Source organism: Homo sapiens, chromosome X (assembly GCF_000001405.40).
Source record: "Homo sapiens chromosome X, GRCh38.p14 Primary Assembly".
Lineage (NCBI taxonomy): Eukaryota > Metazoa > Chordata > Mammalia > Primates > Hominidae > Homo > Homo sapiens.
The window spans coordinates 48,691,510-48,709,677 of NC_000023.11; the positions used below are offsets into that span (position 1 = coordinate 48,691,510).

At 52.7% G+C, this 18,168-nt stretch overlaps 1 protein-coding gene and 1 long non-coding RNA gene across 3 annotated transcripts, besides 4 other annotated features; one reads left to right on the forward strand and one right to left on the reverse strand.

Moving 5' to 3' along the window:
• Positions 20-1,611, reverse strand: LOC124905187 (uncharacterized). Its single transcript, XR_007068229.1, has 2 exons — positions 1,042-1,611; positions 20-353 (listed from the first exon to the last, which is right to left on the reverse strand). It is a non-coding gene; the product is annotated as an uncharacterized LOC124905187 (long non-coding RNA).
• SUV39H1 (SUV39H1 histone lysine methyltransferase) lies at positions 4,045-17,507 on the forward strand. 2 transcript variants are annotated; one of them, NM_001282166.2, is made up of 6 exons: positions 4,045-4,362; positions 7,393-7,538; positions 8,582-9,244; positions 14,756-14,902; positions 14,989-15,118; positions 15,928-17,507. In NM_001282166.2, exons 1-6 carry the CDS (start codon positions 4,311-4,313, stop codon positions 16,059-16,061), a joined length of 1,272 nt encoding a protein of 423 aa, NP_001269095.1. In that variant the 5' UTR covers positions 4,045-4,310; the 3' UTR covers positions 16,062-17,507. The 2 variants fall into 2 exon arrangements, with proteins under 2 accessions (NP_001269095.1, NP_003164.1); NM_003173.4 differs by lacking the exon at positions 4,045-4,362 and adding an exon at positions 5,225-5,294.
• Positions 4,839-4,918: a silencer, noted in NCBI's record as "silent region_20820". NCBI's record gives its function as "represses an Ori minimal core promoter by ATAC-STARR-seq in GM12878 lymphoblastoid cells {active_cell/tissue: GM12878}" and the evidence as "EXISTENCE:reporter gene assay evidence [ECO:0000049][PMID:35858748]".
• Positions 4,949-5,248: a silencer, noted in NCBI's record as "silent region_20821". NCBI's record gives its function as "represses an Ori minimal core promoter by ATAC-STARR-seq in GM12878 lymphoblastoid cells {active_cell/tissue: GM12878}" and the evidence as "EXISTENCE:reporter gene assay evidence [ECO:0000049][PMID:35858748]".
• Positions 5,539-5,638: a silencer, noted in NCBI's record as "silent region_20822". NCBI's record gives its function as "represses an Ori minimal core promoter by ATAC-STARR-seq in GM12878 lymphoblastoid cells {active_cell/tissue: GM12878}" and the evidence as "EXISTENCE:reporter gene assay evidence [ECO:0000049][PMID:35858748]".
• Positions 5,779-6,058: an enhancer, noted in NCBI's record as "active region_29608". NCBI's record gives its function as "activates an Ori minimal core promoter by ATAC-STARR-seq in GM12878 lymphoblastoid cells {active_cell/tissue: GM12878}" and the evidence as "EXISTENCE:reporter gene assay evidence [ECO:0000049][PMID:35858748]".

An 18,168-nucleotide genomic window follows, 5' to 3' on the forward strand; every position in this document is an offset into this window, starting at 1 on the left:
ATTTAGCCTTACATGTATATATTCATTCATTCATTTATTCCCTCAGTCATTTAGCCTGTATTTCTTTGTTTCCTTCTGCCCCTCTGTCTTTCAACATTTATTGTCAGGTACTATTTTAGGGGCTAGGAATCAAGAAGTGGGAAAAAAAACAGACAAGAATTCCTGCCCTTAGGGGGTGAAATCCACATTCTAGGGGAAGAGACAGACAAGAAACAAGAAATCAAATAGAAATAAAAGATAGCTGCAGATCATGATAAATGCTGTGGAGTGGTAAGGCAGAGATACAGATGAAACAACATTCAGATGGAGCAGTCAGGGATGGTCACTTGGAGTAGGTGATGGTGGTGCTGGACCTAAAGAGAGAGAAATGTCGGCCCAGTTAATATTTGGGGAAAAGGGGTTCCAGGCTGAGGGAGCAGCCAGTGCAAAGGCCCTGAGGTGAGAAAAGGCTTGGCATGAGGCCAGATGTCATGCATTTAATTATTTTTTAAAAAAATAATTCAATCGGCTGGGTGCAGTGGCTCATGCCTGTAATTCCAGCACTTTGGGAGGCCGAGGTGGGCGGATCACCTGAGGTCAGGAGTTCGAGACCAGCCTGGGCAACATGGTGAAACCCTGTCTCTACTAAAAAATACAAAAATTAGCTGGGTATGGTGGTGCACACCTGTAATCCCAGCTCCTAATGGGGGCTGAGGCAGGAGAACTGCTTGAACCCGGGAGGCAGAGGTTGCAGTGAGCTGAGATCGTGCCACTGCACTCTAGCCTGGGCAACAGAGCGAGACTCCGTCTCAAAAAAAAAAAATCATTCAATCAACACAATACTAGATTAAGAGCAGCATACTCAATGAGCAGACCTCCCCATTCTCCATGCCCATAACAACTCACACACCAGGATCTTGATGGGCAGGATCCCCCTCTCATTTTTAAAATTTGGCTCTGCCCAGTTCCCAGTTCAAATCAAGCACTGGCCAATTGCAATGGAAAAGGCAAAGACTTAATTATCAGACAGATCTGCTCTAGAACCCGGGAAAGATGCCTCACCTCTGAGCTTTGGTTTCCGCATCTATACAATGGAGGTAACTGATTTCCAACGGGGATCCCACTGAGTCACCTCTCTGCCTCCTCAGGACTTGCTCTCCCAGAAACAAAGGAGTAACTCAAAAGCGTCCTTGGCGTTTACAGCTATTTCCAAGGGCATAATTAGAAACTGTTGCACAGCAAAGCCTAGAATTGAGCTCCCTGCCCCTTCCGATTTCTGAAATCTGGTGAATTCGAGATCTCAGACATCCTACCTTTAGAGGAGGAGAAAAAGAGAAAGGTAGTGGGGAGGAAGATAAAGGTGAGGGAGACTCCAGAGAGGGCAGGCTTCTTCAGTCTGCAAGAGCAACGGAAGAATTTCTAGGTGGAAAGGGGAACTCCCCCAAGCTAGAGAAGGAGGGAGTCTCAGGTTTCCTTTAATTCATTATTCTTTACACCGCAACACCACTCCCCACCCCACCCTGACCAGGTCCCCAGATGGGCACTGAGTCTAGGAAGGATCCATCAGCATCATTTATCCCTACTCCCAGTCCCCCACAGAAATCTTAGAAATCCAGTGTTCTGGTTGGCCGGGCGCGGTGGCTCACGCCTGTAATCCCAGCACTTCGGGAGGCCGAGATGGGCGGATCATGAAGTCAAGAAATAGAGACCATCCTGGCTAACATGGTGAAACCTCATCTCTACTAAAAATACAAAAAATTAGCCGGGCGTGGTGGCACATGCCTGTAGTCCCAGCTACTCAGGAGGCTGAGACAGGGGAATTGCTTGAACCCGAGAGGCAGAGTTGTGGTGAGCTGAGATCACGCTACTACACTCCAGCCTGGGCAACAGAGCGAGACTCCGTCTCAAAAAAAAAATGTGGTATACACAATGGAATACTATTCGGCCATAAAAAACAATGAAATCATGTCTTTTGCAGCAACATGAATGAAACTGAAGGCCATTAATTTGAGTGAAACAACTCAGAAACAGAAAGACAAATACTGAATCTTTTCACTTGTAAGTGGGAGCTAAATAATGTGTACACATGGACATAGCATGTGGAATTATAAACAACAGAAACTTGGAAGGGTGGGGAGGTGGGAAGGAAGTAGATGATGAGGAAATTACTTAACGAGTACAATGTGCATTATTCAGGCTATGGATACAGTAAAATGCCTGACTTCACCACTACACAATGTATCCGTGTAACAAAATTACACTTGTGGCCTGGCACTGTGGCTCATGCCTGCAATCCCAGCACTTTGGGAGGCCAATGCACATTATTCAGTTGATGGATACAGTAAAATGCCTGACTTCACCACTACACAACGTATCCATGTAAAAAAATTACACTTGTGGCCTGGCGCTGTGGCTCATGCCTGTAATCCTAGCACTTTGGGAGGCCAATGTACATTATTCAGATGATGGATACAGTAAAATGCCTGACTTCACCACTACACAATGTATCTGTGTAACAAAATTACACTTGTGGCCTGGCATGGTGGCTCATGTCTGTAATCCGAGCACTTTGGGAGACCAAGGCAGGTGGATCACTGGAGGCCAGGAGTTTGAGACCTGCCTGGCCAACGTGGTGAAACCCCATCATCTCTACTAAAAATACAAAAATTAGCCAGGTGTGGTGGCACACGCCTGTAATCCCACCTACTCAGGAGGCAGAGGCAGGAAAATCGCTTGAACCCGGGAGGCAGAGGTTGCAGTGAACCGAAATCACGCCACTGCACTCCAGCCTGGGTGACAGAGTGAGACTCTGTCTCAAAAAAAAAATATTATATTTGTACCCAATAAATTTATATGAAACAATTAAATGCTTCTGAGATCTGGCTTAATGGTTGCTCAGCCTGCATTCTGGTTCCACATGTAGGTCTGCTTGTGAAAACTCATTACAGTGTTCACCCCTGGTCTGTGTACCCTTCTGTATTTGTGTTACACTCCAATCTGAGGTTTACATTACAATAGGTCAAACCTGTGAATAAAACCTTATATTGGCTCCGGCACTGGGCAACGCAGTAATCATTAAATTAATGCTGAATGAACAGACAACTGGCTGGGAGTGGGACACGGTAGCAATAAGATGGCCTCTTAACTTTTGAGGTCTCCTGAAAAAGTGCTAGTCCAGAATGATTCACTTTCCAGATGAGCAGGAGACACCCACCCCAAGGTCACTTACTGCAGGTTTTACAGACCAGTTTAAGAAACTGCCTAAGATCAAGTAATTTAGTAAATGGCAGAGCCTGGATATGAGTCCAGGTAGTCAGGCTCCAGAATCCAGACTTTTGCCCACTACTTTATAGTGTTTGGGGGCACTACTGGCGACAGACCCTTTTGTCTCCCTCTCAGATCCAGACAGGCAGAGGTCCTGTCTTAAATCACTCTTGTGGGTTGGACAGGTCTCCTGGACACCCGGGAGTGGGAGAGCCCTGCTGCCCGAGGAGACTGGGGGTACATGAGGATGAGCACCTGACTCTGCTCGAGAAGGAGTAAGGGAGGGAAGGGGATGCATGGTGGGACCTTCGCTCCTGTCTGTCCCCTCAGGGCAAGCTGGGGCTGACGGAACCTCAGACCAGCCAGTCACTTCTTAATGAGCTCACAGCTGGACTGGCAGGCAGACAGAATATCCGTTTGGTTAACTGTATAACTGTTTGGTTGACTACAGAACTCATGGAGTGACAGGGAGAAGGCGCAACTTGAGGACGTGACAGCGCAGTTTCCTGAACATCTAACTGAATGACAGCCTGCCTAGGACTGGCTGGGGCTGGTAGCCTGACAGTGGAAAAGACAGGCAGCCTCCTGAGGACCTTGCAGGCTGGCTGACTGATGGCCCGTGGTGCTACTGCCTGCCTGGGTGGCCGGATGTTGTGAATGACTATTGTCAGGAATCACAGCTGGCGGGGGAATGTCTAGATGTTATACTGTCTGGCACCGTGTAAAGGAGGGCCACCTGGGGAAACTTCAGGCTAACTGATCAACAGACCCGTGGCTGCTTGCTAGGCAGCTGTATCTGGTGATCAACTATCCACGCTGCTCGAATCACAGCATGCTGGAGGGCCTGGCTGGGTGCTCTGACTGACTGATCACCTGACAGACGGTGCGGTCAGTCGGATGCTGAGAATGACTGACGATGTGATGAGGGGCGGATTGAACGAGTCACAGGCCAGCTGGCCAGGAGCAAAATCGGCATAGCTGTCTGACTCGATGGCTGTACGTGGTTACGGACTGTCTGCCCTGATAGAATCTCAGCTTCAACGCATCAGAGGAGACTGACTTGACCAATGGTGGGGATGAGTCGCCTGAGAAATGACAGACTGGCTGACCCACTGACAGGTGGTGTGGAGGCTTAATCCTACCTCTAGTTGCTGTGACTATTTGCTTTGAGGGCCTAGCTGGATGTTGTGACTGATCGTGGTGTGAATGAGAAGTAATCTGAGGGAAAGACAGTGACCAACTGATAGTGCCCGACAGGGCTGTATTAGATGCTGACAGTGACAGCTTGTCCCGACCTAATCACAGCCCGCCTGGGGGCATGGCTGGATGCTGCAGTCTATGAGAGGATTTAGCCAGGGAGAATCGCAGCTGGTCCCAGGGCTATGGTGGGTGGAGAGGAGGACTGATTGATCTGCTGACAACGTGAGGACAGGATGGTCTTAGGGAATGATAAGGCAGGCTGGCTAACAGTGCTGTCTGCCTGCCTCCAGGGAGTCGCCGCTGGCCAGGGCACAAATGGAAGCCAGTATTGACTGCCCAGCAGTGTGGATGGGGGCCGGGAGTCTGACTAGGCACCTGTCTGGGGCGACCGCCTGAGCAGTTGGATACGGCACTAGTCCACCTGGGAGCCCCGGCCTGCTTGGGGTTAAAATGAGATGACGGGCTGACTGACGGTGATAACAGGGAGTATGACAGGACTGAGGAACCACTGCGACTGGCTGATAACGTGATTGGCTAGCAGTGTGACAGACAGACCAGCGCACGGGCAGGGCCTCTGGCAACTTTAGCTACCGCCGCTGTCGCTCCCGCTGCCGCCGCCGCCCAGACGCACTCTGGGAAAGCGCGGCGAGCACCCGCCTCCGGGACCGAGCCGGGCGGCAGGGAGGGGTTCGGTCACGGCTCTCCGGTTGGTCCGCGCGGGTGCTGCGAGTCGGGAGCCGCGGCCAATAGGCTGCGCGTTCCCGGCCACGCCCGCGCGAGCGCTCTTCTCGCGAGGCCGGCTAGGCCCGAATGTCGTTAGCCGTGGGGAAAGATGGCGGAAAATTTAAAAGGTGAAGCAGTGGAGGCAGAGGCGCGGGCCCGCTGGCCGGGCCGGGTGGGCTGGAGGGGTGGCGTTGCCGGCTCGGGGCCCCGGCGTCCGAGGCCCCGGCGCCGGGAGCCGGAAGCTCGGCGCGGAAAGGATGAGGCTCGGGGAGCGCGGGCCTGGTGCGCGGGGCTGGGCGGGGCTCAGGGGAGGGGGCGCGCGCCTCGGAACGCAGCGGGCCTGGGGCTAAGTGGGGACGCAGGAGGGGGGCGCGCGCTGCAGATCGCGGCCGGACCGGCGCGCGCACGCGCGGGGGCTTGTCGAGGAGGCCGCGCCCGCGCGCGGGAAAATCGGCCCCTGGTGACCGTTACCCATTCGGTGTCCACGCGAGACGCCGGAAGGGGAGGGAAGATAAGGGGGACAGACCCCCCCTTCAGAGTGCGGGGACTGAGAACTCTTCTGGGGGAAAGTATCGCCTCTCGGCGTGATGGGGGAAGGGTTTGGAATAGAGGATCTCCCAGAAGAGAGAAATGGGGCCTTCCTAATAGGACAGCTGGACTCCCCCATGTGCAGGGAAAGAGGGGTGACTCAGTTATGTTGGGGGGCCCCTCTATGTGACGAAAGCCGCAGGGAGGATGGGTTCCACAAGTGGGAGGACCTCTGAGGGGTTCAGGAGAGTCCACCTGTGGCCAGTTCCGGAGCCAGCAGCTGGAGGGTGTTAATTGGGACCACTTAAGTGGGGTTTCAAATGCAAGTGAAGGAAGGGGTTTGCGAGGACAGGCTGTAGGGAGAGGAAAGCGTGGGCACAGGCGGGCTCAGTCTCCACTTGGTCTTGCCTAAGTAGGGGGGGTAGGGCTTGCACACGAAATAATTTTGAAAAGCTCTTGTACGTTTTTAGGTTGACATCTAAAGTTTAGGTGTGATTTTTGCAATGGGAGGCAGAAAATATTAAACATTTTAAAAAGATGATATAGGATGAGGACTGACTGCCCTTGGAATGTTTTGAGACATGATTTGATAAAATGGCTTCTAAAGTACTTTGATTAAGAATGTGCCTTGAATCAGAAAGAAATCTGTTTTTTAAAATCCGTGTGTCTTACAAAATTTTGGCAGTCCCAGAAATATACCAGGTATATTTAAAAGAATCAGTGTCACTAATCTGTACCGCTTTGCGTATAAATTCAGAGCATAACCCTTTGGATGAGCTTTACTCTTCACAGAAAGATGGATGAGACAGAAAGTCAAAATGCAGTGTGAAAAAATATACCTTGTGGATTTAAGGCACCCAGATTGATCATTTAAGGAGCCTTCCTGTAATGTAGTATCATTCCACAATCTCTTGCTCATAATTCCGAAATCTAAAAAGCCCTGAAAACTGAAATCCTTTTCTTAAATTTGGCACCATTTATGGCAAAAGTAGATTATAAAGTGGAACTCTTCTGTGAGGCTATTTTATATCTCTATTTCTCCTATTTAATGTGGGAAATTCATACTTTTGCTGCAGGACGGTTAATGCATTTGATTATAGCTTGATGTCCCCTGGCCACGCTGGGGGTGTTAGGTGATGTATGGGATATCCTAGAACTAGTCTTGTAAAATCCAAAAAATTTTGAATTCCAAAACACATCTGGCCCAGGAGTTTGAGATAAGGGATTAAAGACCAGTCTTTCCAGTTACGCCTTTGTTTGGTGCCCTGGAGGTTTTAATCTTGTCCTCCCATCCGCCCCACCTCGGGGCACTGCATCCTACTGAGATGGGGGGTTGTTCTCTTTCTTTTGCAAAGTGGAGAGAGGGGTGATCAGGTCCTGAACCCAAAGCAGGTTTGCAGGCAGTTTTAGGAATGACATGGAGTTTGAAGCTCTGGAAATAGATTCCTTTAGGACAATTCATGTTGCAAACCCCGCTTAGAGGTCTGCTGCTCCAGGGGCAGCTTTGGGCAGTGAGTATTGGGGTTCAAAGCACATTTCTGTTGTAGAACAGTCTCAGCACTGGGGAAGGCCTGTGGATTAAATTTCCCTGACTCTTAGTCAGTCTTTGGGATGTCCCAGGGAGGATTTGGGGTCCCCTTTGACTCCTGGCCTAGTCAGGCTGCCCAGTAATAGTTCTTTCTGCCCCGCTTGATCCAGGCTGCAGCGTGTGTTGCAAGTCTTCTTGGAATCAGCTGCAGGACCTGTGCCGCCTGGCCAAGCTCTCCTGCCCTGCCCTCGGTATCTCTAAGAGGAACCTCTATGACTTTGAAGTCGAGTACCTGTGCGATTACAAGAAGATCCGCGTGAGTCTGGGGTGACCATGCTCTGGGAGGGGACAGGTCACAAGGAAGTTAGTGTCCTGCCCTCTTGTCCCCAACTGCCCACATCTGTTTCCAAAGGGAATTTTCTCCTTTGACCCTGAAAACACAGGATGAATAGACCCTTTTATCCCTATGTTACAGATAGGGAAACTAAGTAGCTTTCTGGGCAGGAGCCGGAATGAATTCCCAAATAAATCTCTTCCCATCTCCCTAGGAATACAAAGTAATTGCAGAGATTGAGATGCTGAACCCTGGAGTGGAAATGTCAATAGCTAATGGCTATTGAGCACTTTCAGTGTGCCAGGCGTTTCCTCTCGGAAACTCATTTAATCCCCTAACAACTGAAATGGGGATAGTTATTGCCAGAAGGGGGAGTGGCAGGATGGTTAGGAGAACAAACTGGAGTCAGCATGCTTGGGTTCCAGTCCTGGTTGTGTTACCCCAGGCTACCTACCCAAACCTTCAGTACTTCATTTTCCTTGTCGTAAAAGAGGGATAACTAGGAGCATCTACCTCATGTGGGGTTGTGAGGATTAAGTTAGTTAATAATACATGTAAGCTGCCTAGAACAGGCAAGGACTTGTCAGGGTCCAGGTGAGCCAGGGTGGTGGCAGTGATGATGGTTTGTCACTGGACGTATTTTGAAGGTGGGGCCAACGGGATGTGCAGAGGGTGGGTGTCGGAAGTGTGAACAAAAGAGAAGTCAAGGATGACTCCAGGAGTTCCGGTCTGAACAGCTAGAAGGGAGGGAGCTGATGATGGGGAAGACCAAGGAGAGGAGTGGGTTTGGGAGATTAATTAAAAGTTGGAACAGTTTGGACAGACAGTAAGGGGGAGAGGAGGATTTGAACCTAGTAATCCTCACTCTAGAGCCCATGCTTTTTAATCACCGCATGAAGTCATTCCAGAAAAGGGGTGGGGTGGGGTAGGTGTTATCCATCAGCTTTGGGATGGAAGCCCCATGAAGGCTGGCCCAAAGATCTCACTACTTACGGTACCCCCGTCCCCCTACCCACCCCCAACAGGAACAGGAATATTACCTGGTGAAATGGCGTGGATATCCAGACTCAGAGAGCACCTGGGAGCCACGGCAGAATCTCAAGTGTGTGCGTATCCTCAAGCAGTTCCACAAGGACTTAGAAAGGGAGCTGCTCCGGCGGCACCACCGGTCAAAGACCCCCCGGCACCTGGACCCAAGCTTGGCCAACTACCTGGTGCAGAAGGCCAAGCAGAGGCGGGCGCTCCGTCGCTGGGAGCAGGAGCTCAATGCCAAGCGCAGCCATCTGGGACGCATCACTGTAGAGAATGAGGTGGACCTGGACGGCCCTCCGCGGGCCTTCGTGTACATCAATGAGTACCGTGTTGGTGAGGGCATCACCCTCAACCAGGTGGCTGTGGGCTGCGAGTGCCAGGACTGTCTGTGGGCACCCACTGGAGGCTGCTGCCCGGGGGCGTCACTGCACAAGTTTGCCTACAATGACCAGGGCCAGGTGCGGCTTCGAGCCGGGCTGCCCATCTACGAGTGCAACTCCCGCTGCCGCTGCGGCTATGACTGCCCAAATCGTGTGGTACAGAAGGGTATCCGATATGACCTCTGCATCTTCCGCACGGATGATGGGCGTGGCTGGGGCGTCCGCACCCTGGAGAAGATTCGCAAGAACAGCTTCGTCATGGAGTACGTGGGAGAGGTAGGGAGATGGGACCCGGTGTGTGTGTGCAGCTCTTCCCACCCTGTGTTCACAGTGTGCACCCGGCTCTCCTCACTGTGTGTCTGAAACTCCCTGCTTTCCCTATGGGAAAGGCCTGGGAGACTGATCTGAGTGTCACAGGGACATTGGGCAGGGGCTAGTATTCCAAGCTGGTACACACCAGCATGGCCATGCTGGTGGTTACAGGAACACCAAAATACTTCTGCACTGGGTTGACTTTATCAGGGTACTTAGCAAAGAAGAAAAGTGGGAGCTGAGATCCAGGCAGCCTTAGCATTCCTTGTAACAGGCCATGTGGTCTGGCATAGGGCTGCATCAGCTGGAAAGGCACTTCCTCTTCTCATTTCACAAGGGCCCATCTTATCACCAAGCAGTATCTGCCTGAGGAGCATTGTTTTACCAGTCTGCACAGAAGGAACGCAGTCTGGAGTAGGATGAGACATGCCTTGGACAAAGGTTGGCTAACTCCTTTAGACTTTCAGGACACTGGGGAAGGCCGAGTGTATTAGGCAAGCCAGCCATTGTAAAAACAACCCCCTCATCTTAGTGACTTTGCACATTACAAGTTTGCTTGCTCATGGAACAGTCCATTGTGGGGGTTTGAGTGGGTATCCTTTCACACAGCAACTGGGACACCTAGGCTCTTTCCCTCCTGTGCCTTTGCTGTGCCTTGAAGCCTTGGAGTCACTACCAGATCCTCAGCATTGCCTGGCAGGCGGGCCAAGTGGGGGATAGAAGGGGCCCATCCTAGTGGGCCAGGCCTAGATGCAGCACCCATCACTTCTGCCCATGCTCCACTGGCTGGAACTGAGTCACTGGCCTTACCTCCATGCAAGAGAGGCAACAGGATGTGCTTTAGCCATGTGCCCAGCTGCACAAGGCTAAAGCACAGCCATAACTAGCAACTAGATAACTAGCAAGTATCTACAACAGAAAAATGTCGCATTCTAAGATGGGATGCAGTTAGCATTTGGGATGAGATGATTTTTCGTTATGTAGAACTGTCTCATGCATTGGGGGACATTTAGCATCCCTGGACCTTGACCATTTAAATCCATGAGTGTGCCCTGTCATAGTGACAACCCCAGATACCTCTATATATAGCCATAGGTCCCTTAGGGGTGTGATATAGTTGGAAAGTGACAGAAACTGGCCTGAGGAACACTCACATGAGGGTGTCCACACTGTAGCACTGATACTGATGACAAGGAGAGGCTCCTACTCTGAGAAACTGTACAGAGGGTCACATCTGACAGGGACAGAGACAATCTTGGGTAGAACAATCTACACCACAGAGGACCCTGACAGTCTGGGCAAGGAGACAGCCACACCCTGTCCAGATAACCCTGCTGGCCTGCTGGAGGAGATGTCTACATGCCACAGGACCTGGCCATCTGGAAGGAGGAGGTGGGGAGGTGTCCACACCCTGAGGGCTCCTGACAGTGGGCGGGGGAAGGAGTCCTGATAATCTGCAGGAAGTCCATGTCCCACAGTGACCCCAGTGACCTGGAGGAAGAGCTTGTGCTCTCCACACTCTAGAGGACCTGGTGGTCTGACTTAGGAAGTGTTCACACCCATGTTGTCATGACAGGAAAAAGAAGTGTCCTCACCCCAGAGGGATCCGGACAGCCTGGAGATCTAGTCTACACCCAAGGGCACCCTGACAGTATCGGGGGAAGTGTCCATGCCCTCAATGTCCTGACGCTCTGGAGGAAGTGTCCAGAGGTTGAAGGAACCCAAACTCTCTGGAGGAGATGTCCAGACCCCATAGGACCCAGACAGTCCACCGTCCTAGGGGCTGCACAGAGCAGGAAGTATCTCAGCCTCACTGTACTGGCATCTGGAGGAAACACTGTCTACCACACAGGGTCCTGACAGTCGAGGAGGAAGACTACACCCCAAGGGCAGCCTCAGACCCTCCTGGGCCTGAGACTTTTCTGGCTGCTCTTCCTTAGTGTCAGTGTCTTTAATCCTCCCAGGGATCCTCTCAGCCCTGTCCTCACCCTTCCTGCTCTCCACACATTCTTGCTGCACTATTTCCTGACCGCCCTCCAGCACCCTCAGACCCATGGGTCCTCCTGATGGTGCCACAGGCCTCCGGAAAGAGCCAAACTCATCTTCCCGCATTCCCCTCTGAAGAGACAGTATAGCAAATGGTTAGGAGGGTGGACTCTGGATCCTGACTGCCCGAGGCTGAATCCCAGCTCCACTACTCATCAGCAATCACTAACCTCTGTGCCTGCATTTACTATGTAAAATGGGAACAATAATAGCACTCACCTCACAGGCTTGTTACAAAAATTAAATGAGTTACTATGTATCAAGCACTTGGAAAAAGCACTTGAACAGTGTTCAGTACACAGTAAGTTTGATACAAATGTTATCAGCATAGTTCAAACTTCAGCAAATCCAAAATGTCTGGAAGACCAAGTTTTTTTGTAACCCATCTGGCTACAGGACCCAGCCTGACCGGATAGGGTCCTATTTGTAGTTTTTATTTATCCTACTTGGGGTAATAGTCATACATTTCGTTGCAGCAGTTCTAATTTACTTGATTCTGTAGTGCCGTCCCAGATGCTGCCAGGGTGTTACGGAATCAAGGGCCTATCTGCACACCATGCTATCTACTGTCCTTCTTCAGCTGGGACATGTACTGACAGTCTGTACCAAGAGCTCCCTCCACGGGAGCTGCCCTTCCCTCCTTTGCAGCCTCCCACATTGGGTCAGAACTTTCACGTTCCTGCAGAACATTCCCATCCTCACCCAAGAGACAATGCCAGCCTATTTTATCCATTCTAAAACATGCATTTTCTTCCTATTTTAACATCTCGGAAATGAAGATGTCTTAATTAAATCATGGTGTATCATTTATAATTAACAGCAGTTTTTCCTTTCTTGGTAAAGGGCACATAAAATTAAGGGTGTGCCTTACATTTATAACTGGTCCTCATAACCACTCCTAACATTGCTCACTCTCCTATCAGAAACAGGAACACCTTTCACGTCCATGATCTTGTATGGATCTTTACAACAGCCCCTGTCAGGTTGGGATTTTGTCACTGTCATTCCCATTCTGCAGATGAGAAAACTGAGGCCCAGAGAGGTAGAATAACTTGATTAAAATCACAAAAGTAGTACAATGGATAAAAAAATAAAGGCCCAAATAATATCTAAAACTGGTACCCTGCCAGGCTGTAGCTTTTTTTTTTTTTTTTTAGCTGAGGAAACAGGCACAGAGAGAACATTCAGGATCCCATATCCAGGAGGGGGCAGAGCAGCAGCTGACTCCAAGTCTTCTAGTTCCCATTCACGTCAGCACCCTCTCGGAACTGCCAGCTTACAGCCTGTCTTTTCCATTCATTCTGGAGAGCTGTTAGGGAGCAGAGACAGGCCCATCTGTTCCCAAGCTTTCAGGGTTGACCAATCATTAGAGAATGGGACTGAAAAGAAGATGAGAAGGAACCAAGAAGTGTTTGTGCCCTGGAGGGCCTGCAGTATGACTCACTCCTGGTGAGACTGGGAGAGCAGGTAGTGGCAGAATAGGCATGAAGATGGAGACTAGGAAGGATGTGGGCACTCCTCCTGGCTCAAGGAGGGCCTACGGTGAAAAAGATGGCTCATACCCCACCCACTAGGCCTGTGAGCCTGGGAGAGGCTGCCCTTTGATCCCAGGACTTGATCAGACAAGTGGCCAGCTTCTGAGGTAGGGGAGGAACGGGAAGCTTGGAAGGCTGCCTAGAGAGGTCCCATCTGTTTGAGCTGATGCCACAAGGAAGACTGTTCTCCAGGAGGTGAAGGGAGACTGATCTTGACATATTCCACCCTCATGTTGTGGCCCTTAGGAGAGAGTCCCCACTCTTCCACCAGGTGGTAAAGCCCTTTTATGATCTGCAACTCGTTTTAGAGAATCCGTCTCTTCTCCATTCCCCCTCAAGCCCTAAGCACTGTTTCCTGATCACAGTCTTACACTGTGGGTGTGTGAATCTGTCTCTCTGTGACCAGACTTTGACCCCTTGAGGGCAGGGACCAATCCTGGTTCCTGTGTATCCCCTACCCACCTGTGACCCCTGAGAGTGGACCGGGCCTGGTCCCTGTGTCTCCCTGATCAGACCGTGAGCCCTGCATGCTGGGACTGGGCACAAGGAAGGCCTCAATAAAAACCCTGGCAAGGGAGCCAGGTTCCTCAAGGAACAGAACTGGAGCACGGGGCAGTGGGTAGTGTGGCCCGAGGCAGGGTAAATCTTGGTTTCCTCAAGGCATTGTTAGTCAGCCTTTGGCATGGAACACAGCCTTGAGGGGACAGCCAGGGAGAACACCAGTGTGGCCATCCTAGCTAAGGAGATGGATTCCCAAGTCAGAAGGGCATGGTCACCGGCCCACATGAGGGTGAGCAAGGAAGGAAGCCCGAGAGGGGTCTCTGGAGAAGGGAGGGGAAGGAAGAAGTGTGGCGGGGGAGTACTGGAGCTACCTGGAGGGCCGCCACTTGGACAGAGGACAGGCTGCTAAGCCAGGAAGCAGAATCAAAGTAAACAGCAGTCCCCATGTGTCTCCTGTGTGCTGTGCACTGTTCTTGGCTGAGGTACAGTGGGACCCCTACCCAGGGAAGGGCCTGGTCAGCTACGCTTGGGGATTGGCAGGAGGCTGCCGTTGCTGGCCTCAGGGAAGAGGGGCCATGGGGCCGGAGATTTGTTGGCGTGGATTGGGAGGCAAGGACAGGCTGGGGCTAGGATGGCAGCAAAGCTTCCCATTTCCTAGGACAGGTAGGGAACCAGCTGGGGAGGAGGCACCCACTGCCGTCTGAAGCACCAGTTGGCACTGCGCAGCCCTGGGCCGAGGGAGAGCTTCTCTCACTGTGCTCTCCCTTCATCTTTCCTCCTCCTCTGCTGCTGTCTCTGAAGTGTGTGGCCTCAGCCTCTTTCTGGCTCTCTGAACCTGGGCCTCCCTCTGCCTCTGCCTCCACCTCTCTTGTCTTGAGGCCCTTGCCCCCTTTCCCCATGGCCTGGGTCTCTTCTTCCCCTCTCTCCACGCCCTCCCTGCTGGGTCCTGCATGGGCTCAGGCTCCCTTGCCTGGATCAGTAAGTATCTCTCCCTGTGGCACCCTGGGTCACTTTCTTTCTTGCCCTTGCTTTGGTCTCTCCTGATCACCTTCCTGCTCCGTCCCAAGGCACTGGAGGCTCCAGGGGTTCTTGGGCAGCTCTTGCTGGGTGGCGGCAGGAGGTGCTCGCGTGGCCCCAGTTGGGCCCTGCAGCCAGGCCAGCCTGCACTCACCGCCAGGGACTCCTCCTGCTAGCCAGAGGCCTGAGGCGGGCCAGGCAGTTGCCAGCTGAGGCCCAGCTCCTCAGGAAGGGCCGACAGACTCTCTGCGTCACTGCCCATGTGTGTCCACGGGCAGGGGTGCCTCCTGCTCCCTGTCCTTCAGAAGTCAGGAGCAGTGCCGGCTTTCCTGAGACTTCGCGGCCAATCTCCCCTTACCCATGGCCCTTTCCCTAGATCATTACCTCAGAGGAGGCAGAGCGGCGGGGCCAGATCTACGACCGTCAGGGCGCCACCTACCTCTTTGACCTGGACTACGTGGAGGACGTGTACACCGTGGATGCCGCCTACTATGGCAACATCTCCCACTTTGTCAACCACAGTGTGGGTACCCCCGGCAGGCGGGCAAGGGGTCGAGAGGGGCAGGCTGGAGCCCCTCCTCACTCTCCCAACTGTTCTTTCTCGCCCAGTGTGACCCCAACCTGCAGGTGTACAACGTCTTCATAGACAACCTTGACGAGCGGCTGCCCCGCATCGCTTTCTTTGCCACAAGAACCATCCGGGCAGGCGAGGAGCTCACCTTTGATTACAACATGCAAGGTGGGGGTGGCAAGGGACTGGGGGCAGGGGCGCACTGTGACTTGGGACACAAGGACCCCTCCCAAAGGCACACCAGTCACTCAGAGAACCAAGGAAAATTCTTTAGCGGGAGCTTTAAGATGCTCTTCCTGACTCCCAGTCCCCCATTCGGACTACTAGACCCCTGCCTACCCCTCGAGTCCCCTCATTCCCAGCCCCTGAACCCTAACCCTGAGGCATTCATACCAACTTCTCCCAAGATTCCTGGAGAGTTAAGAAACTCCTGACTCCAGTCTTGACTGAGTTTCCCTCATCCCCCAGCCCCTCCCCACTCCTAGCTCCCTTTGGCCTTCTTCATCCCAAGCCTCTGGACACCCTTGTGGCCTCCAGCCAGTCCCCTCCTTGATAAGCTAGCCACCTCTGAGACCCTCAAGGGCAGGTCTTTGGCAGGAGAGTTCAGATGTACCTCTGGATGCCCAGGTGGCCCTCTATTCCTGCCCCTGCCCCCCCCCACACACCTAAAACGACCCTCCTGGTTCCTTGACGGCTCCCTGCCTCCCCCAGCATTCTTCAACCCCTGGCCTGAACAACCTCCAGTGCTGAGCCCTGGCCCTAGCCCCAAACCACCAACCCTAAGATCTCCCAACTCAAATCCCAGAGTTGCTCCCAGCCCCAAAGATCCTTGGTCTCATGGTATAAAGGGTAGTGGGACCCTTCATCCAGGCCTTCTAACAAGTCCCCTGCCTCCTTCCCTACCTTCCTCCCTCCCTCCTTCTCCCCCTCCCTCCCTGCCTCCTTCCCTCCTCTCCTCCCTGGCTGTGACTCCACAGTGGACCCCGTGGACATGGAGAGCACCCGCATGGACTCCAACTTTGGCCTGGCTGGGCTCCCTGGCTCCCCTAAGAAGCGGGTCCGTATTGAATGCAAGTGTGGGACTGAGTCCTGCCGCAAATACCTCTTCTAGCCCTTAGAAGTCTGAGGCCAGACTGACTGAGGGGGCCTGAAGCTACATGCACCTCCCCCACTGCTGCCCTCCTGTCGAGAATGACTGCCAGGGCCTCGCCTGCCTCCACCTGCCCCCACCTGCTCCTACCTGCTCTACGTTCAGGGCTGTGGCCGTGGTGAGGACCGACTCCAGGAGTCCCCTTTCCCTGTCCCAGCCCCATCTGTGGGTTGCACTTACAAACCCCCACCCACCTTCAGAAATAGTTTTTCAACATCAAGACTCTCTGTCGTTGGGATTCATGGCCTATTAAGGAGGTCCAAGGGGTGAGTCCCAACCCAGCCCCAGAATATATTTGTTTTTGCACCTGCTTCTGCCTGGAGATTGAGGGGTCTGCTGCAGGCCTCCTCCCTGCTGCCCCAAAGGTATGGGGAAGCAACCCCAGAGCAGGCAGACATCAGAGGCCAGAGTGCCTAGCCCGACATGAAGCTGGTTCCCCAACCACAGAAACTTTGTACTAGTGAAAGAAAGGGGGTCCCTGGGCTACGGGCTGAGGCTGGTTTCTGCTCGTGCTTACAGTGCTGGGTAGTGTTGGCCCTAAGAGCTGTAGGGTCTCTTCTTCAGGGCTGCATATCTGAGAAGTGGATGCCCACATGCCACTGGAAGGGAAGTGGGTGTCCATGGGCCACTGAGCAGTGAGAGGAAGGCAGTGCAGAGCTGGCCAGCCCTGGAGGTAGGCTGGGACCAAGCTCTGCCTTCACAGTGCAGTGAAGGTACCTAGGGCTCTTGGGAGCTCTGCGGTTGCTAGGGGCCCTGACCTGGGGTGTCATGACCGCTGACACCACTCAGAGCTGGAACCAAGATCTAGATAGTCCGTAGATAGCACTTAGGACAAGAATGTGCATTGATGGGGTGGTGATGAGGTGCCAGGCACTGGGTAGAGCACCTGGTCCACGTGGATTGTCTCAGGGAAGCCTTGAAAACCACGGAGGTGGATGCCAGGAAAGGGCCCATGTGGCAGAAGGCAAAGTACAGGCCAAGAATTGGGGGTGGGGGAGATGGCTTCCCCACTATGGGATGACGAGGCGAGAGGGAAGCCCTTGCTGCCTGCCATTCCCAGACCCCAGCCCTTTGTGCTCACCCTGGTTCCACTGGTCTCAAAAGTCACCTGCCTACAAATGTACAAAAGGCGAAGGTTCTGATGGCTGCCTTGCTCCTTGCTCCCCCACCCCCTGTGAGGACTTCTCTAGGAAGTCCTTCCTGACTACCTGTGCCCAGAGTGCCCCTACATGAGACTGTATGCCCTGCTATCAGATGCCAGATCTATGTGTCTGTCTGTGTGTCCATCCCGCCGGCCCCCCAGACTAACCTCCAGGCATGGACTGAATCTGGTTCTCCTCTTGTACACCCCTCAACCCTATGCAGCCTGGAGTGGGCATCAATAAAATGAACTGTCGACTGAACAAACCAAGATGTGAGGTGCTTGTGTGGGTGGGGGTTGAGGGGATAGAGGCTGGGAGCTGGGTTTGCCCAGGAACATGTTCCTCAAACCTCAGCCATTTGACTCTAATCCTCACAATTTCAGCCCCCACAGCATATCACTTACACCATCATCTATATAACATCTTGACCTAAAATAAGTTTGTTTTATACTTAAACTTTAAAATGCACTTAAGGCTGGGTGTGGTGGCTCACATCTTTAATCCCAGCACTTTGGGAGGCCGAGGCAGGCAGATCGCTTGAGCTCAGGAATTCGAGACCAGCATGGGCAACATGGTGAAACCACGTCTCTGCTAAAAATACAAAAATTGGCCAGGTGTGGGGGCATGTGCCTGTACCTGTAGTCCCAGCTACTCAGGAGCCTGAGGTGGGAAGATTGCTTGAGCCTGGGAGGTGGAGGTTGCAGTGAGCTGAGATCTCACCACTGCACTCCAGCCTGTCTGTCTCCAGAAAAGAGCCAAACCCTGTCTCAAAACAATGCAATTAAATTGACTGGTTTAGACTGGCCGTAACTGGTTTTGACTGGACTTGACCGATCTTGACCTGTGTTGGCCGACTTTGACTTGTCATGACTGGCTGTGACTGGTGGTAGCTAGCCGTGACTGGCCTCGACTCGTTTTGACCAATC